At 56.7% G+C, this 19,731-nt stretch overlaps 1 protein-coding gene across 1 annotated transcript, besides 1 other annotated feature; it reads right to left on the reverse strand.

Annotated features, from left to right (window-relative positions):
- Nucleotides 1–2,527: 2,527 nt before the first annotated feature.
- SEMA6B (semaphorin 6B) lies at nt 2,528–19,619 on the reverse strand. Its single transcript, NM_032108.4, has 17 exons — nt 19,465–19,619; nt 18,272–18,424; nt 17,961–18,084; nt 17,098–17,158; nt 16,886–16,948; nt 15,923–16,024; nt 15,409–15,499; nt 14,911–15,030; nt 14,323–14,411; nt 12,357–12,574; nt 10,734–10,865; nt 10,058–10,207; nt 8,198–8,380; nt 7,962–8,108; nt 6,327–6,404; nt 6,151–6,209; nt 2,528–4,464 (listed from the first exon to the last, which is right to left on the reverse strand). Exons 2-17 carry the CDS (start codon nt 18,390–18,392, stop codon nt 3,536–3,538), a joined length of 2,667 nt encoding a protein of 888 aa, NP_115484.2. The 5' UTR covers nt 18,393–18,424; nt 19,465–19,619; the 3' UTR covers nt 2,528–3,535.
- Nucleotides 16,672–16,966: an enhancer, noted in NCBI's record as "tiled region #7851; HepG2 Activating non-DNase unmatched - State 17:Gen3', and K562 Activating non-DNase unmatched - State 1:Tss". NCBI's record gives its function as "activates a minimal TATA promoter and a strong SV40 promoter by Sharpr-MPRA in HepG2 and K562 cells {active_cell/tissue: HepG2 | K562}" and the evidence as "EXISTENCE:reporter gene assay evidence [ECO:0000049][PMID:27701403]".
- Nucleotides 19,620–19,731: the final 112 nt, after the last annotated feature.

The following is a 19,731-nucleotide window of genomic DNA, read 5'->3' on the forward strand; positions in this document are numbered from 1 at the left end:
ATACCTGCCTGGACTGGGGGCAGGGGAACCAACCCTGGGGAAGTCCCCACCCCCGTCCAGTTCCTGATAGGGGCTGAGCCTAAGCCAGGCAGGGGAAGGGGAGGGGTCAGGATTACAAAATTGCTTCCTGGAAATTGTTTCCTGTTCAACCCCTTTTTGACCCTGCTTCTAGAACACAGGTTTTTCTTTCCTTGCTTCCTGATTTTTGGGGGGCATCCAAGAGTCTCTCTAGTTGCATCCTCACTTCCCCCAACCCGGAGTTCAAGGGTCAAGGTTTGCAAGGCACTATTCCTGGAGACAGGGACAGCTCTCTGAGCAAGAGGAGGGATTTACCATAAACTTGAGCAACCCAGAAGCTCACTGAAAAGAACAAAAAAACTCGTCTTGATTTCATGGTATGTTGATATTGCTTTTTTTAAAAGAAGTCATTTTAAAAATACAGTCCAATAGTGAGTAATGCCAAACGTCTCTACGGTCCTTAGACAGTGGCTTGGGAGGAACCAAACCTGGTTCTGAATTCCAGCTCTGTCATGAACACCTTTGCTTTGTGACCTTTGGCAAGTGACTTAACTTTTCTTGGCCTCAGTTTCCCCATCTATGAAGCTGAACTCAAATCTCCAAGGGCTCCTTCTGCCCTTTTTTCTCTTCATCTGAATCTGACATCCATGCTATTGTTTCCATTCTTCCTCATTTCCTATTAAATGCGTTTGGAGGCTACAAATTTCCCTTTGAGAACAGCTTTGGCTGCATCTCATGGACTTGGCTGCAGAGTGCTTGCATTCTTGTTGAGTTCTAAATATTTAGGTATGATGGTGTCACCTTTATCTGCAGCTATGACTATTTTTTTTTTCTTTTTTTTTTTGAGACAGAGTCTTGCACTGTTGCCTAGGCTGGAGTGCAGTGGCGTGATCTCCACTCACTGCAAGCTCCGCCTCCCGGGTTCACGCCATTCTCCCACCTCAGCCTCCCGAGTAGCTGGGACTACAGGCATGCACCAGCGTGCCTGGTTAATTTTTATATTTTTAATAGAGACAGGATTTTGCCATGTGGCCCAGGCTGGTCTTGAACTCCTGAGCTCATGTGATCCACTGGCCTCGGCCTCCTAAACTGCTAAAATTACAGGTGTGAGCCACCATGCCCCGTCATTTTTTTTTTTTTTTGAGACAGCATTTTGCTCTGTTACCCAGCTTGGAGCAGTGTGGTGCAATCATAGCTAACTGTAGCTTTGACCATGGGTCCAAGGCCTCCCAAGTAGCTGGGACTACGGGCACGTGCCACCATGCCTGGCTAATTTTTTTTGAGATGGAGTCTCCCTCTGCCACCCATGCTGGAGTGCAGTGATGCAATTTCGGCTCACTGCAAGCTCCACCTCCTGGGTTCAAACGATTCTCCTGCCTCAGCCTCCCGAGTAGCTGGGAATACAGGCACATGCTACCATGCCTGGCTAATTTAAAAAATTCTTTTGTATGTTACCTAGGCTGGTCTCAAACTCCTGGGCTCAAGGAATCTTCTCAGTCTCTCAAAGTGCTGGGGTTATAGACGTGAGCCACTGCACTCCGTCAGTCTTGTGCCCTGCCCAGTCTCCGGAGCCCAGCCGTTAGTTGGTCTTAATCAACATGGACTGAGAGGAAGGAAGGCTTGTGAAATGTAGTGACACAGTAACAAAACGATCCATTAAAATGAAATGAGATCACATCCCTGCTTAAAACTCTCTGATGGCTTCTTGTCCCACTTAAAACAAAATTCATAAGGCTGGCCAGGCGCAGTGGCTCACGCCTGTAATCCCAGCATTTTGGGAGGCCGAGGCAAGCGGATCACCTGAGTTCAGGAGTTCGAGACCAGCCTGACCAATATGATGAAACCCCGTCTGTACTAAAAATACAAAAATTAGCGGGGCGTGGTGGCGGGTGCCTGTAGTCCCAGCTACTGGAGAGGCTGAGACAGGAGAATTGCTTGCACCCAGGAGGCATAGGTTGCAGTGAGCCGAGATCGCGCCACTATACTCCAGCCTGGGTGACAAAGTGAGACTCTGTCTCAAAAAAAGAAAAAGAAAAAGAAAAAGAAACTGGCTCCTATGCAGATGAAGATGGGGACCCCGAAGTCTCCATGTTTCCACACTCAGCTCCCCAGATTTGTTTTGACCCAGCCTTTTTTTTTTTTTTTTTTTTGAGACAGCGTCTCGCTCTGTCACCCAGGCTGTAGTGCAGTGGTGTGATCTCAGCTCACTGCAACCTCTGACTCTCAGATTCAAGCTATTCTTCTGCCTCAGTCGGCCGAGTAGCTGGAATTACAGGAACCCGCCACCAAGCCTGGCTGATTTTTTGTATTTTTAGTAGAGACGGGGTTTTGCCATGTTGGCCAGGCTAGTCTCGAACTCTTGACCTCAAGTGATCTGCACACCTCGGCCTCCCAAAGTGCCGGGATTACAGGCGTGAGCCACCGCGCCCGGCCTGGCCTTGACTTTTGAGGGTGCCCCCACCCGTGCCACCCCCAGGAGGCAGAGCAGAGCCAGAGTCATGGGGGCCGGTGGTTGTAAACAGAGTTTTATTGATGGGGAGGGGGCTGGGGGAGGCAAACTCCAGAGAGGGCAGAGGACCCAGCCAGCCACGTGGCATGCATGGTCAGCTGGAGGTCAGAGGGGGGAGGTCACAAGGGGACGGGTGGCATGGGACTCTCTCACCACCCTGGGGCCGTATTTACAGAGGGGCCCCACCCACCTTCGCCGCCCCCCAGGCCCCCAAGCCCTTTAGACAGCTGCTGCCGATGTGACTTCCGGGCAGGCCCTCCTCGTGTCTCCTGCCTGAAACCCCGGCATTGTCCCCGCTTCCCTCTGCAGAGTGGGGGGGGTTCAAACTCCTAACCGGCACCTCGGAGACCCCCGGGCCTTCTGGAAGCCCCAGCGTCGGCTCAGCCAACGCCCAGGCCGCTGGGGCCACCACGATCGTCGCTCGTGGACACACACCCTGCACGCGTGGCCCACTTGACACACACGCCCACAGCAGCCTTCGCTGGCACGCACACACACGCCCACCTCCCCGGCCCCTTGCACACGAACACGGCACGCACACGCACGCACACCCACACACGCCAGGGGCCTGGGTTGGGGAGGGACCTTTCCAGGGGTGGGGGAGGGCTTAGGTCTGCAGCTGTGGCCCCCCATTCCCCACCGGCGTCCAAGCCTCCCCTGCCTGCCGCCACCCCGAGAACGGAGTTGTGCAATTGGTTAGAAAACCGCAAAAGAAACCAAAACTGCAAAAAAAACCAAAACCTACGCGCATAAGGTCAACCTCAAATCCATAGCAAAGTCCTCCCGCCCACCCACCCCCAAACCGTCTCAGCGTCCTGCGGCCCCGGGTAGGGGGAGGGCGAGCTGGTTGTGCTTCCTTGTGGCGGAGGGGGCCCCCCACTCCGCGGGTGGGTCGCGGGGGGGACTTGAGCACCCACTCGGAGTTGCCCCGGGCCCCGGCGTTCTGGCACCGTCTCTCGCTCCTGGTTCCCGTGGCTGGCACTGCCAAGGCATCGGGGGGCCCCCGGCCTAGGGCACGGGGGGCGCAGTCCTGTCCGCCCCCCCATAGGGGAGGAGGTGGGCCAAGTCTGTGCCCGGCCGGGCGTGGCAGCCGCGGTGGCGGTCCCCAGGCCGGGCCTCGCCGCTGTTGAACGTGTGGGTGCGGCGCAGGGTGGCGGCCGGAGGGGCGTGGGGGCCCAGTGGCCTCCTCAGGCTGCCCGTCGGGGGCGGGCTCCAGGGCCGCGGGAGGCCATCGGCGGCTGAGGCTGGGTCCAAGGGGCCCGTGGGCGCGGACACCACCCGCCGGCGGTCCGGGCTGGCGTGGGGGGTGAGCGGGAAGTCGCCGTGGGAGGCGCGGCCGGGCCGGGCAGCATAGAGGCGGCCGTCGGGGGTCGGCTCCCCAGGCGCGGGGGGCTGCTCGGGGGCCCGGGCGGGCGCCAGCAGCAGGAGGGAGGATGAAGCGGAGGCCGGGAGCAGGGGGTGGCCGTGGTCCCAGGCGCGGGGGCCCAGGGCGTGGGGGTGCGGGTGCGGAGTGGGCAGGCGCTTCTGCGGCAGCGGCGTCTGCTCGGGCGTGGGCAGCAGCCCCGAGTCCAGGTCGTGGGGCCCGCCCTGCAGCAGCGTGGCCTTGGCCCAGCCGTTCTGCATCAGGGGCGCCAGCAGGGCCTCCGGGGGAACCCCGGCGCCACCGCCACCGCCTCCGCCCCGGCCCCCGGGACCCTGCGCCCTGCGCTCGCCCAGGCGGCTGACGCTCAGCACCGCCTCGCCCGCCCCGTGCGCCAGGATGGCCTCCTTGTCCTTGCGCCGGGCCAGCTCCCGCCGCTCACGGAGGCCCACGAACCAGCCCACGCTGAAGCCGGACACCACGGCTCCCACCACGAAGGCCGCCACCGACGACGTTACCAGCAGGTTCACCGACACCAGCCCCGCGCGGTCCTCGGAGAGGCTGGCCCGCAGGAGTCCTGGCCGGGGAGCACAGGGGGGTTAGTGGGGCCGGCGGGGTGGCCCTGGGCATCCCTCCTACCTCCTCGGGGCCCTCTGTCCTCTTTTTTATTATTTTTATTTTTTTTTATTTATTTATTTTTTGAGAAGGAGTCTTCCTTTGTGTGCCAGGCTGGAGTGCAGTGGGGCGATCTCGATTCACTGCAACCTCCGCCTCCCATGTTCAAGTGATTCTCCTGCCTCAGCCTCCCGAGTAGCTGGGACCACAGGTGCCCACCACCACGCCCGGCTAATTTTTGTATTTTTAGTAGGATGGGGTTTCACCACGTTGGCCAGGCTGGTCTGAACTCCTGACCTTGTGATCCGCCCACCTCTGCCTCCCAAAGTGCTGGGATTACAGGCATAAGCCACCACGACTGGCCTTATTTTTATTATTTTTTAATTTTTTTTGTTTGTTTGTTTTGAGACAGTCCCCCAGGCTAGAGTGCAGTGGTAAAGCTCACTGCAACCCTGCCTCCAGCTACCTGTTTGTTTTATTAAAGACAGGATCTGGGCCAGGCATGATGGCTCACACCCATAATCCTAGCATTTTGTGAGGCTGAGGCAGGAGATCACCTGAGGTCAGAAGTTTGAGACCAGCCTGGCCAACAAGTGAAACCCATCTCTACTAAAAATACAAATTTTAGCCGGACATGGTGGTGTGCGCCTGTAATCTCAGCTACTTGGGAGGCTGAGGCAGGAGAATCAATTGAACCCGGGAGGTGGAGGTTGCAGTGAGCTGAGATCACACTACTGCACTCCAGCCTGGGTGACAGAGCAAGACTCTGTCTCAAAAAAAAAAAAAAAAGACATGTTCTCACTCTGTTGCCCAAGCTGGAGTACAGTGGCCTGATCACAGCTCATTGCAGCCTCCACCTCCCTGGGCTCAAGCGATCCTCCCGCCTCAGCCTCCCAAGTAGCTGGAACTACAGGCATGCACTGCCACGTCTGGATTATTTTTGGGTTTTTGTTTTAGAGACAGGGTTTCACTATATTCCCCAGGCTGGTCTCAAACTCCTGACCTCAAGTGATCGTCCTGTCTTGGCCTCTCAAAATGCTGGGATTATAGGCAGGAGCTGCCGCGCCTGGCCCCTTCTGTCCTGTTGAAGTTGGTCTGTCTGCCTTCTGTTGTCTCTTCGTCCTTGCCAAAGCCTGCCTGTTTCTTGGTGTCTCTGTTCTTCCCCTATCTCCCTCCCCAATAAATGAGATGAGACCACCCCATGCCTTTCTTTTCTTTTTTTGAGACGGAGTCTTGCTCTGTCGTCCAGGCTGGAGTGCAGTGGCGTGATCTTGGCTCACTGCAGGCTCTGCCTCCCGGATTCACGCCATTCTCCTGCCTCAGCCTCCCGAGTAGCTGGGACTACAGGCGCCCGCCACCACGCCCGGCTAATTTTTTGTATTTTTAGTAGAGACGGGGTTTCACCGTGTTAGCCAGGATGGTCTAGATCTCCTGACCTCGTGATCCACCCACCTTGGCCTCCCAAAGTGCTGGGATTACAGGCGTGAGCCACCGCGCCCGGCCCACCCCATGCCTTTCTAAAGTTCTCTGATGGAGTCCAGTTTCCCCACCCACCTCCCAGAGGATTCGAGGGTCCTCCAGCCTCCTCCCTCCCCTCCCCCATGGTAGTGGGGGATGGGGGTCTTAGCCTGCCGTCCCCCCAACTCACCTGTGCAGTCCCCTAAGCCTGAGGTGCTGGCCCCGGACACGTCCTGCTCAAAGGCGGCTCTAATGGGGAGAGGAGGCACCGTCAGCAGAGGCCCCTCTCACAGTCAGAGATCAGGGGGATCTGGGATCATGGGCGGGTCTGACACACCCTCCACCCACCTCCCTCTCCCGCAGTACCTGGTGCCCGGGCTGAGGAAGATGCAGGAGCCGTCGGGGGCCCACCCGCAGTAGGGGTCCTGACTGCCGATACAGTTCCTAGAGCAGACCAGGGACCGAATGGGACAAGTGTCCAAGTCACTTACACAACCCCAATGGTGATGGTGACCTGTGGGCCCTGTTCCAAGCACCTGCCTCTTTATTTTTATTTTAATTAATTAATTTTTGAGACGGAATTTCGCTCTTGTTGTTTATTTATTTAGTTATTTTTGAGATGGAATTTCGCTCTTGTCGCCCAGGCTGGAGTGCAGTGGCGGGATTTTGGTTCACTGCAACCTCCGCCTCCCGGGTTCAAGCGATTCTCCTGCCTCAGCCCCCCGAGTAGCTGGGATTACAGGCACGCGCCACCATACTTAGCTAATTTTTGCATTTTTATCAGAGACAGGGTTTCACCAGGTTGGTCTTGAACTCCTGACCTCAAGTGATCCACCCGCCTCGGACTCCCAAAGTGGTGGGATTACAGGTGTGAGCCACCACGGCTGGCGTTTTCTTATTTTAAAATTAAAAAAATTTTTTTAAATTAAAATTTAATTTTTTTTTTCTTTAAGAGACAGGGTCATGCTCTGTCACCCAGGCTGGAGTACAGTGTCATGATCATAGTTCACTGCAGCCTCAACCTCCCAGGCTCAAGTGATCCTCCTGCCTCAGCTTTCTGGGTAGCTGGGACCACAGGTGTGTGCCACCACGCCCAGCTGATTTTTGCATTTTTTTTTTTTTTAGAGACAGGCTCTCACTATGCTGTGTTGCCCAGGCTGGTCTCGAACTCCTCGGCTCAAGGAGTCCTCCTGCCTTGGCCTCCCAAGTGCTGGGATGACAGACGTGAGCTACCAAGCCCAGTCCCTCTTCTTAATAGCAACTTCTGGAGTCCTTAGAACAAATCTGTGTGCAGGGCACTGTTCACTCCCCACTTTACAGATAAGCAAACTGACGCTCCAGAAAGTAAATGTTTGCCCAAGTGGCAGAGCTGAGATGGGAGCCCAGGCATCGTGCCAGAGGCTGTGCCCTTGGACTCGGAGCTACTGGGTCATTGTTGCAATAACGGCGGGCAGGAAGCAGGGTCCTCCGCATTGACGGCTCACATGGAGTGCAGGCGTGTGCCAGCACTGGCATGCATCCTAGCTTTCCTCCCATTTTAGAGACGGGGAAACAGCCTCCACCCTGGTCCCTGGTTCTCCTTCCCCTGCAGTCTCCTCCTGGCAGCAGCCACCAGAGGGCACCTGTAAGCACCTGAGTCAGGGCCAGTCCCTCCTCTGCCTGCAACCCTACATGGCTCCCATCTCCTTCAAGGTCAAAGCCCAAGTCCTCCCCGAGGCTCACAAAGCTCTGCACAAACTGCCTCGTCCTCTCCCATCCCCTCCCCGTCCTCCCCTCCTCCCTCACTCCCCCTTGCTCACTGTGCTCCAGCCACACCGGCCACCTTGCTGTTCTTCCAACACACCAGGAGTGGTCCTGCCCGCGGGCCTTTGCACGGGCCATGCCCTCTGCCCAGCTCAATGACCAGGACATCATTGGGCTTTTGACTGGAACCCAGCTGTCCCTCCCTGTGCCCATCCTCCCTTGCTTCCCGCCCACGGCTGGCCTGGGGTGGACACTCACTTCATACACCCCGAGTACTGCTGGCAGCGAGCCACAGGCACTCGGACCACGCAGCGGGGGAAGGCAGCCAGCAGGCCCCCCGAAGCTGCGTCCAGCTCCAAGCTCAGCAGCCGCTGCCCTGTCTCGCCACCGCCGGGCCGTCCACACCTGGGGACAAGCAGAGTGGTGAGGCTGAGCGCATCTCAGCCCATCTCCCCTCCTGCTGGCGACCCCTTCCCACCTTTGCCCAGACTTACCTGTCCGGCCGGTAGGTCTCAAACTCCTCCAGGAAGACACTGAGCCCAGACGTCCCTGAGGTGCTGGCATTGGGCCGGACGAGGAACTTGAGGACCGTCCCCGCCTCAGAACCCAGGAAGACAACGGTCTGGTTGCCCCAGGGGCCGGCTCCCACGTCCACAGCCACTCGAGTCAGCTGGTGCCTGGGGGACAGGGCAGGGGAGGGTCAGGCTGGCCCCATATCACCACATGCCACCAACACGGGCATGGCCATAGTTACACGGGTGCATACAGACACTGACACACCAACACATGTGACAGCAATAAATGCGTGTGTGCATGGATGCCGGGGACATGCGTGACTACACAGGCACGTGGGCACACTCGCCCTTTTTTGAAACATAACCCCAAACCAGGCTCTCCTCAGCCCTGTCTCTTTGGTTGAGATGGAGTCTCACTCTGTCACCCAGGCTGGAGTGCAGTGGCGCAATCTCAGCTCATTGCAACCTCCGCCTCCCGGGTTCAAGCAATTCTCTTGCCTCAGCCTCCTGAGTAGCAGGGACTACAGGCACACGCCATCACGCCTGGCAAGTTTATGTTTTGTTTTTTTTGAGACAGAGTCTCACTCTGTTGCCCAGGCTGCAGTGTAGTGGCTCGATCTCGCCTCCTGGGTTCAAGCGATTCTCCTGCCTCAGCCTCCCAAGTAGCTGGGACTACAGGCGCACACCACCACACCGAGCTGATTTTCTTTTTTTTGTATTTTTAGTAGAGACAGGGTTTCACCATTTGGCCAGGCTGGTTTCAAACTCCTGACCTCAAGTGATCCTCCCGTCTTAGCCTCTCAAAGTGCTGGGATTACAGGCATGAGCCACTGTGCCCAGCCCCGCTTTCTCCTGATATGTATGTGTGTCTGTGTATCTTTCAGTCTCTTTCTCTCTTTGTCTCTCTTCCCTATCTCTGTCTCTCTGGGTGTCTGTCTGTCTCTGATTGTCTCTCTCCCTGTCTCTCTGTCTCTTTCCCCCTTTGTTCTCCTGGTGTGTGTCTGTCTGTCTACCTCTTTTTTTTTTTTTTTTTTTTTGAGGTGTAGTCTCCCTCTGGCCCCAGGTTGGAGTGCAGTGGCGTGATCTCGGCTCACTGCAACCTCCGCCTCCCGGGTTCAAGTGATTCTCCTGCCTCAGCCTCCCGAGTAGCTGGGACTACAGGCGCCCACCACCACGCCTGGCTAATTTTTGTATTTTATTTTATTTTATTTTTGAGACGGAGTTTCGCTCTTTCGCCCAGGCGGGACTGCAGTGGCGTGATCTTGGCTCACTGCAAGCTCCGCCTCCCGGGTTCATGCCATTCTCCTGCCTCAGCCTCCTGAGTAGCTGGGACTACAGGCGCCTGCCACCACGCCCAGCTAATTTTTTGTATTTTTAGTAGAGACGGGGTTTCACTGTGTTAACCAAGATGGTCTCCATCTCCTGGCCTCGTGATCCGCCTGCCTCGGCCTCCCAAAGTGCTGGGATTACAGGCGTGAGCCACCATGCCCGGCCAATTTTTGTATTTTAAGTAGAGACGAGGTTTCTCCATGTTGGCCAGGGTGGTCTCGAATTCCTGGCCTTAGGTGATCTGGCAGCCTCGGCCTCCCAAAGTGCTGGGATTACAAGCATGAGCCACCGTGCCCAGCCCCATCTGTCACCTCTTGATCCCTCTGTCTCTCTCTTTGTTCTCTCTTTCCTAGTGTCTCTCCATCTTTCCCTCTCTGTCTCTCTGTGTCTCCAGCTCTCTGGGCAGCGCCGGAAGCCATGGGCTCATCTGTGTTGAGCATCTGGATCCTCTCACCCTCCATCTACCCCATCCTGTCTCCCCTCGCCATGCCCTGCCTCTCCAGGACCGACCTCATCAGGGTCCGCAGGATCCAGGGCGCATGGCCCAGCGAGGGCACCGCCTCGTCCATCAGAGGGTGGGTCTTGACAAAGTTGAGGATGTCATCCGGCAAGGCGCTGGAGGCATTGTACTGCATCCCGGGGGCTGCGCAGCACCCGGGCCTGGGGGTGACAAGGGTGTGGTCAGGACGAACGTAAAGGTTCTCATAAAGGGGCCTGATTCACCAGAGGTACCCATTGCTTTGCCCAACGACCCTCAGGTTTTTTGTTTGTTTTGTTTTTGAGACAGAGTCTCAATCTGTCGCCCAGGCTGGAGTGCTTTGGCTCACTGCAACCTCCACCTCCTGGGTTCAAGCGATTCTCCTGCTTCAGCCACCCGAGTGGCTGGGATTACAGGCACGTGCCATCACGCCCGGCTAATTTTTGTATTTTTAGTAGAGACAGGGTTTCGCCATGTTGGTCGGGCTGGTCTCAAACCCTCGACCTCAGGTGATCTGCCCACCTCCGCCTCCCAAAGGGCTAGGATTACAGGCGTGAGCCACCACACCAGGCCTCAGTTTTTCCCAACTGTATAACGGGTACAGCTGAACTCAGCATCAGCTAAATAACCACCCGGAAGCCCCAGCCCTCGGCCCTGGGGATCAGGACCTCATCCGGGCATGTGACTCAGGATGGAGGGGGTTCTCACCGGGGTCGAGGCACCTGATCCTCCGGCACCGGCGTCCAGATGGACTCGGGGGACTTCTGCTCTCGGAAGCGGCCTTCAAACACAGCTGCCACCTGTGTCAGGTCAAAGGCGCAGACAGCCGAGCCAGGGATGCTGAGGGGTTGGGATGAAAGAGTTTGGTGAGCCCGGTGGGAGGCCCCATCTCGGACAAGTGCGTGCAGGAGCCTCTGTCTGCAGGAGCCAGTGAATCTTCAGTCTTCCTAGGCCAGAGATGTCCCCTGTCCCTCCCGCATCTGTCGAATGCAGCCACTCCTCCTGAATAACATCTCAGATTGGGCCACAGTTCAGGGTCTACGAGGCCACCCCTGTCCAGGCCCCCATCCCTGTTTAACTGGATGTCCTGCCTGCCCAGTGTCACTGTTAGAGCCCACTCCCCAGCAGGCTTTTTTTTTTTTTTTTGGAGACCGAGTCTTGCTCTGTCGCCCAGGCTGGAGTGCAGTGACGTGATCTCAGGTCACTGTAACCTACACCTCCCAGGTTCAAGCAATTCTCCTGCCTCAGTCTCCCGAGTAGCTGGAATTACAGGTGCCCACCACCACACCCAGCTAATTTTTGTATTTTTAGTAGAGATGGGGTTTCACCATGTTGGCCAGGCTGGTTTCGAACTCCTGACCTCAAGTGATCTGCCCTCCTCAGCCTCCCAAAGTGCTGGGATTACAGGCGAAGCCACCGTGCCCAGTCCACAAGCAGGCTTTTTAAAAATGCAAACCTTGGCCGGGTGCGGTGGCTGACGCCTGTAATCCCAACACTTTGGGAGGCTGAGGCGGGTGGATCACGAGGTCAGGAGTTTGAGTCCAGCCTGACCAAAATGGAGAAACCCCGTCTCTACTAAAAATACAAAATAAGCTGGGTGTGGTGGCGCACGCCTGTAATCCCAGCTACTAGGGAGGCTGAGGCAGGAGAATTGCTTGAACCCAGGAGGCAGAGGTTGTGGTGAGCCGAGATCGCGCCACTGCACTCCAGCCTGGGCAACAAGAGTGAAACTGTCTCAAAAAAAAAACCAAACCAAACAAACAAACAAACAAACAAAAAATGCAAACCTGATCTCATCCCTCTTGCTCTTCACTCTTCCATGGCTCCCCAGTGCTCTCAGGGAAAAAGTCCAAGTTTCTGCCTGCAGCCCACAAAGCCTTGCCTGATCCATCCTACCAGTTCCCTGCTTTCCTGTTGTGCATTCTCCCCTAGTTCCCTTCCCACACAGACTCTCTCACGATTACTTAAGTATACTGAACTCACTGAAGCCTCAGGACCTTTGCACATGCTGTTTCTCCAACTTTGAACACCCTTCCCTCTTCCTCCATCTCACACCCAAAGTCCAGCTCCAATGTCCCCTCCTCCAGGAAGCCCTCCCTGCTCCTCTCCCCAAAGGCAGAGGATGAGGATATCTTTGGCCCAGTTCTGACCAAAGGGACTTAGAGGGTCAGTGTCAGCTTGTCCCACCCCAGCCTGGGGCCGAGGCCTCTCAGAGGTCTAATCCAGTGGTGCCCAACCTAGCACCCAGGGCATACCTGAGGAGTGAATACAGGCCCTCTCTACCCATGCCCACCAAATGCTCCCAGTTTGCTCCCATTGGTGGGCGCTGACCTGTTGCTGGGCGTGGAAAAAACGGCCAGGACCACGGGCCGGCCCCCGAGGCTGACCACGCCCGTGACAGCCTGCAGCACGTTGAAGTAGAAATGGGAGTCTCCGGGTACAGAGCAGTTGAGCCGCGCCTTCAGGAAGGACGTCCACTGCTTCTCCAGCACGCGGGGGGAGCCTCCCACGTCGTTCTTGCACACTCGGGCCACGCGGGACACCACCACCTGGGCGTGACAGTGGACGGACGGGGGCCTGAGCTCTGTGTCCCAGGAAGGCCTGTTCACAGGCTGTGCCACTCACCACCCAAACTGTGATGGAGGAGTCTGACCCTGGCTCTGGTGGGACCCCGGCCAGTCACCGTTCCTCTCTGGGCACCGGCTTCCCTGGCAGAAATTCCCGGTGGGAATGTCAATGATGATAATAGCAACAGTGACAACCATAATCATCACTGTTTCCACGAAGACCCACATTTTATTCTCACATCTCTTACACTCTTCCCGAGGGGGGCCTACTGATATCCCCCCATTGTACATGTGGGGACACTGATAAGAGGCACAGATAAAAGGAAGTGACTGGTCCAAGGTCACAATAGTAGTTAGTGGCAGTCTGTGCACTTCAGCACTGCCTGGTTGCCTGGATGGACGGATGAGTGGATGAGTAGATGGACGGACGATTACAATGGAGGGATGAGTAGGTGGATGGATAAATAAATACATCTGAAGAAGGATGATAGATAATGGAAGAGATGGTGAAGGAGAACAAGGTAATCAAGCAATTGGTAGATAAGTAGATGGATGTGTGGGTGGATGGATGAACAGATGGATAGAGAGAAAGCTAGGTGAGTGGATGGATGGATGCATGGATAGGTGAATAAGTGGATGAATGAATGGATGGATAAGTGGGTGGATGGATGGATGGATGGATGGATGGGTGAGTTGGGTGGGTAGATGGTTGGATGGGTGAGTGGATGGATGGATGGATGGATGGATGGATGGATAGGTGAGTTGGATGGGTGGATGGTTGGATGGGTGAGTGGATGGATGGATGGATGGATGGATGGATGGATGGATGGATGGATGGGTGTGTGGGTGGATGGGCAGATAAATGGATGGATAGATGGGTGGGTGCATAGATGATGAGTGGGTGAATGAGATGGATGGATAGATGAGATGGAAGGGTGGATGGATTGGCAGATGGATGGATAGATGAAGGATGGATGGATGGGTGGGTGGATAGGTAGATGGATGAATGGATGGGTGGATGGATTGGCAGCTGGATGGATGGATGGATGTGTGGATGGATGGATGGATGGATGGGTGGGTGGGTGGGTGGGTGTGTTGGTGGATGGGTAGATAAATGGATGGATGGGTGGATGGGATGGATGGATGGATGAATGGATGGGTGAATGGATTGGCAGATGGATGGACAGATGATGGATAGATGGATGGATAGGTGGATGGACTGATAGATGGATAGGATGGAAGGGTGGCTAGATGAATCGATGGGTGGATGGATGCATGGACAGATGGATGAGTGCACGGATGGATGGTAGTGGGTGGATGAGTGAGTGGGTGGGCAGATGAGTAGATGGATTAATGGGCTCATGAAAGTGTGGGTGGGCTGAAGAACAGACAGATGGGTAAGTGGGAGGGTGAGCAGGTAGACGGATGGACAGGGGATGAAGGATGGATAAGTGATTGTGGCTGGGTGGGTGGGTGGACAGGTGAACAGCAACAGCACCAGGTGTATCTGACTTCCAACTCAAGTCCCTCGTCAGGGCTGAGTGCTCCACGGCTGCTCCGTAGATGTCTTCAGCCTCAGGGCCTGATCATGGCTGGAAAGGAGGCCCTGGGGACCAGAAATGGAGGGCAGGACCCTCTCACCCCATGCAGGGATTCATGGATCCACCTCTGCCCCCTCACTTCGCATGATCAGAGCCTCTCAACTTCATGCCCCACTGCACCGGCCTCACCTTCTCCAGGTAGTTAAACTCCATCGCAATCTCCCGGAAGAAGAAGTAGACATGGCTGCCCCACTCCACCGCATGGACAAAGTAAGGCTCTGCAGGACAGGAGGGGTCAGAACTCAGCCCCTGACATGACAAAGGGGGTTTCTGGGGCTAAGAACTCACTGGCTTTTATGGTGAAGGGGGGACATAGGCTGGTTACCCAGACAATATGAAACAGACTCAAAGTTTGGTATTTTGCAGGGGAAGGGAGGTCAGAAGCCTAAAATCGCTGTGTCTCTTGCTGCAAATGGCAACATCAACTATTTTTTGTTATCTTCCTCCCTCATGTGTTGAAGAGCTGAGTCCTGCTATATCTTTTCTGTGGTTCCATTTTGGGCTTCTAAGCCACCCACTTCCAGCGGGTTCTACTTTAGATCCAACTAAACTTGTTCCTCTAGCTTTCTAGTCTTCAAAAAGGCCAACAGATTCCAAAGATGTGGTGGAAATCTCTCCACCAAGCTCCTCTGGGACTCTTATTCTGGTGGGGAGATTTGATGAATGTCAGGTTCTGGGCCCTGCCAGGTCTGGGCCCACTGCCCTTCCTGGTCTCACCTTTGAACCACTTGGAGTCATGTTTCACGGTGCGCAGGGTGGGCCTGTCCCCGAGGCTGCGGTAGATGACAGCATCAATGGCTAGGAAGTCGGTAACAGTAGCTGTGAAGAGCATCCCGTCTGGATGGGGTGGGTGGGGAAGGCAGGCAAGAGATGAGACCGCAGAGGCCAGGGGCTGGGTGGGTCGAAACTCGATTTTCTGAGACTGAGTCCTGAGCCTAGGGGAGCCCCTGTCTCCAGGCTGAGCCCTGATCCCATCCAAGCCCCACCTCCATCCAAGCCCTGACCTTAACTGAGCCCCTGACCCCGGCTAAGCCCCAAATCCCGCTGAGCCTCAATCCCAGCTGAGCCCCAAACCTGGGCTGAGAGTCTGCCCATGTCACAGCTGGGACAAGTGGTCGTCCAGCTGCCTTCTAAACAACCCAGACGCTGGAGTAGAAAATGCCAGGTCTTGCCTGTGGCTGGGGCTGATCAGATGGAGGTTGGGGGGGTACTTACCAGAGAAGAGGGCAACATTGGCGTGCTTGGGGTCGTACGGGCAGCGGGCCATACCGCTGATGTTGTCTCCGACGGGCTGCAGGGTGTCTATCTGCAGGGACCATGGGGCCTGAGTGACAGATCTCCTGACCCCACCTAGCAGCCCCTGGCTCCCTCAGCCCCCCACTCCAGGGGGAATCCTGATCCACCACGGATTACTGTGTGACCTTGGCCACTCACTTAACCTCTCAGGGCCTCAGTTTACTGATCTGTAAATGGGTTTAAGAGTCAATGCCTAGTTAGACCTGTAACTGGCTCATTACCTAAGTAGCTACGGCTTCCCCGGCCCCCTGTACAGGCCTCGTTTGGACAGCGCTGACTCCTCTTGAGCTCAGGGGGAGGAGGCAGGGAGAGTATATCCAGGAAGGCTTCCTGGAGGAGGTGACACGGCCTGGGGAAAAGCCATGGCCAGCGGAGGTCGGGCGAGCAGAGGCCTGGAGGTTGGACCTGGGGCGCAGGGAGTCTGAAGACTCACGCTGTAGTTGGCGCACACCGGGTTGAAGGCGTTGGAACCGCACACAAAGAGCGTGGACTCGTCCCGAAGGAGCAGCACCTTTACGAAGTTTCGACACTCGCCCTGAGGTGGGGACAGGAGGAAGCGGGGAGCGCGATGTGGGCGTGGTCATGGTGATGGGCGTGGCCAGAACCTGAGTTGTGTGGGTGGAGGGCCGGTCTGTTGTGGGCATGGCCAAGGCAGGGGCTGAACCTAGGACTGGCTGGGGACACGGTGCGACCCAGACAGGGAAACACTTTGTATCAGCAACGCAGGCAAGGCCAGGATGGTGGGCATTGTCAGACTGTGGGCATAACCATGGCAATAGCAGAGTCCTAACCTGGGATGGAGGAGAAGGATCCGCCCTGGGTGTGGTCACGGCCGATTGGGGTGGGGCATGGTCGTGACCAGAACTAACTGGGGCGTGGTGGGCACGGTTATAGCTGATTGGGGCCAAGTTGGGAGCGTGGCCAGAGCTGGTGGGGTGGGCGTGGCCTGGGCTTATTGGGGCGGGCCGGGGGCGTGGGGGGCGGCAGGACTGATAGGGGAGGGGTCGGGATGGGGACCTGATCGATTGGGTGGGGAGTGAGCTATTGGGTGGCGTGTGAACATGGCCTGGGCTTGTTGGAACGAGGCTGGGGGTGGTGGTAGGACTGACAGGGGCAGAAGTGTGGGCATAGCCAGAACTATTTGGGGCGTGGTTATGGATAATTGTGGCTAGGCTGGAGGCCGGGCTAGGACCAATTGGGTGGGGACGTGGACGTGGCCATGGCTGTTTGGGGGTGTGGCCAGGGCTGGCAGTTGGGCGGGGCCAGGGCTGATTGGGGGTGGGTTGGGGCGTGGCCAGGGCTGGCGGGGTGGGCGTGGCCTGGTCTGATTGGGGCGGGGCATGGGTAATGCCAGGGCTGATTCGCAGGGGCCGGGACCGAGCCAGGGCCAACTCACCTCCTGTTTGCCCTTCATCCGACACACGTTTATGTCGCTGGGGTTAGATCTCCAGGTCAGCTTCTGCAGACAGAGAGAGCTGGTGAGGGGGTAACGGGTCCCAGCAGCCCTGAGTGACCCCGCCGTGCTGGGCCGAATCCACCCAGCTCCCCGGCGCAGTGCCGCGTCCCCCTGGCCCTACCCCTCCACTCCCACCTGCACCCCTTCCTCACCCTCTGGTACCGCAGCTCCGTGGACGTGGGGGGCTCCAGCTCTACGCGGTAGAGGTTGTCCCTGGGGGAGGGGCATAGTTAGTGAGAACTGGGGGCTCCGCCACCCTCTCCCGTTCCATCCTTCCCACTGCCAATGTGGTGTGCACACGGGGGCATGCAGGGCCATGCCAATGCCTCTGACACGAGCAACTCTAGCGCCGACCACACCCCCCCAAGGGCCCCAGCAGGCCTTCATATCCTGCACTCCACCTCCTGCCCGGCACGCCCCACGGACTGCCCCCAACACCATGTCCCATGGCCTTAGGTCAGGTGCCCCACTCGGCGCCTCCCAGGCGCCCACCAGGCTCTCTCCCCTCACACCCTTGCCGAGGAAGCCGCCCTGCTCAACGTCATTGGTGACCTCGTGTAGTTAAGCCCAGTGGTCACTTCCGCATCCTCCTCATCCTCTCCAAAGCATTTGATCTGTCCGGTCTCTCTCCTTCCTGGGAAGCCCATCCCTAGAAGCCCCGTAATCTCACACTTGCTTCTCCCCACGACAGCTTCCACCTGGTCCAGCCTCAATCATAGCCAGCCTGGACAGCCCAGTCCCCTCCACCCTGGTCCCCTGGATTCCATTCTCGCCCCCTCCCAGAAGCAGCCACCAGAGGGCGGGCGCGTGTGAGCACCTGAGTCAGGTCCAGTCCTTCCCCTACCTAAAACCCTCCGTGGCTCCCACCTTCCTCCGGGTCAAAGCCTAAGTCCTCCCAATGGCCCAACAGGCCCTGCACGACCTGCTCCATCCCCTCCCTGCCCTCGCCTCCTCTCTCTCTCCCCCTCGCTCATTCTGCTCGTCACACAGGCCTCCTTGCTGTCCCCAGCAATACCTGTCCCCAATGAACAGCGTCCTGTTGACCCGCAGGACTCGCTGGATGTTGAGGTCGTCAGCACCTTCTGCGGGGGTCAGGCGTCCGGGCCCGCTGCCCACAAACACGGGATAGTGGTTCAGGTCTGAGTGAGGGGGTGGAGAGGGGTGTGAGCAAGGGCTGGGGGTGAAGAGAGGGTGGCCTGAGGTCATGCCCCTTCTAGGGGTGGCTCCTGGACTGCTTGAGTCCCCCAGTGGGGGCAGCAGACCCAACTGGGAACCCAGATACTCCCACGGGACTCCACCCCCGCCCAAAGACACCCCCAGACTCACAGTCCCTGGGGGCCACGCTAAGCGGCGGCGGCTCCTCAGGAAAGAGGCCGTGGGCGCCCCCCAGTAGCAGCAGCAGAAGCAGCAGGGCCGGGCGGGGAGGGGACGCTCGCGGGGTCTGCATGGCGAGGGCCAGGCGACAGGAGGAGGTGACGCCTGCGGGCAAGGGGCGGCGAGGTGAGCGGCCTGCAGTCCCGCTCGTGGCCACAAGACGGCGGGCGAGAGCAGCAGACGCTCCTTCAAATCCCAGAAAAATTCCTCACGGGGATAATAATTAATAAAAACAATAATGGCAATAATAATAATAATACACAGCACTGATTTAATTATCAGAACAACTTTATGGCCACGTGTGCGTGAAAGCCCAGGAAACGACTTCAAACAAAACTGCATTCGGTAATTTAAAACTAATAATAATTATTATAATAATAGATACAAATATCCTAAAACATATATTTAAAAATGCAATCGCAAAATACATGCATAAAAATACTTAGAATTAAAACACAAAAATATTAAACTCAAAGGCTAAAAAAAAAAAGAGTCAAAGGCTCTTGGAATTTTATAAGCCACAAGCTGGCTGTGTGTGGTGGCTCACGCCTGTAATCCCAACATTTTGGGAGGCCGAGATGGGAGGATCATCTGAGGTCAGGAGTTCAAGACCGGCCTGCCTAACATAGCGAAACCCTGTCTCTACAAAAAAATACAAAAATTAGCCAGGTATGGTGGCCTGTGCCCGTAATCCCTGCTACTGGAGAGCTGAGGCAGGAGAATCCCTTGAACCCAGGAGGTGGAGGTTGCAGTGAGCCAAGATCGCACCACTGCACTCCAGCCTGGGCAACAGAGCAAGACTCCATCCAAAAAAAAAAAAAAAAAGCCACAAGCTGGGAATGACAGTACTACATAACCACAGAATCACAGAATATTCCCCATGCCAAGGGCCTCTGTGACCCTGGTAGATCTGACCTCCTTCCCAAATCCAGCCTTTTCATTCTCCGCTTGCACACCTCCATGACAGGCACCTCACTACCTCTCACGGGGGACTGCTTCCCACTCCCATTCAAGGTAACTTTGCAGAAACTTCTAGGTGTGTGGAGTGGAGACACTCTCCCATCCAGGTAATGACATAGCAGCGGAATTCACCCTCTGAACCCCCGCCCTCCATGCTGAAGGTCCCAGTTCAGAGCACCCCCTACCAGAAAGGGGTACAGTCCAGGTCCCGGAGCCCCGAATGAGAAGTTCAGCAGCCTCGTCCTTCTGGGAAGTATTGGGCAAGCTCCGAGCCCATTTTCCTGTCTGAGCAGCAGGGGTATCCCCCAGCCCTGCCCTGGCCTTCTGGCTCAGGGATTCTGAGCCCCCAGAGGTGAAGGTGATTCGCGACAATCGGCCCTGGGGTGCCTGCCCCCTCCAAAAACAGGAAGACCTCGCATAGCGCGGCTGGACTTCCTCTTCACGACCCTGAG

Source organism: Homo sapiens, chromosome 19, assembly GCF_000001405.40.
Source record: "Homo sapiens chromosome 19, GRCh38.p14 Primary Assembly".
Classification (NCBI taxonomy): domain Eukaryota; kingdom Metazoa; phylum Chordata; class Mammalia; order Primates; family Hominidae; genus Homo; species Homo sapiens.

What these genes read in the sequence shown, in the direction of transcription:
- SEMA6B (NM_032108.4), bottom strand. Translation starts at nt 18,392, where the DNA reads ATGCAGACCCCGCGAGCGTCCCCTCCCCGCCCGGCCCTGCTGCTTCTG. An exon ending in CAATGTTGCCCTCTTCTCTG is followed by an intron (nt 15,031 to 15,408) that starts GTAAGTACCCCC and finishes CACCCCATCCAG; the next exon opens with ACGGGATGCTCTTCACAGCT. An exon ending in TGACTCCAAGTGGTTCAAAG is followed by an intron (nt 14,412 to 14,910) that starts GTGAGACCAGGA and finishes CCTGTCCTGCAG; the next exon opens with AGCCTTACTTTGTCCATGCG.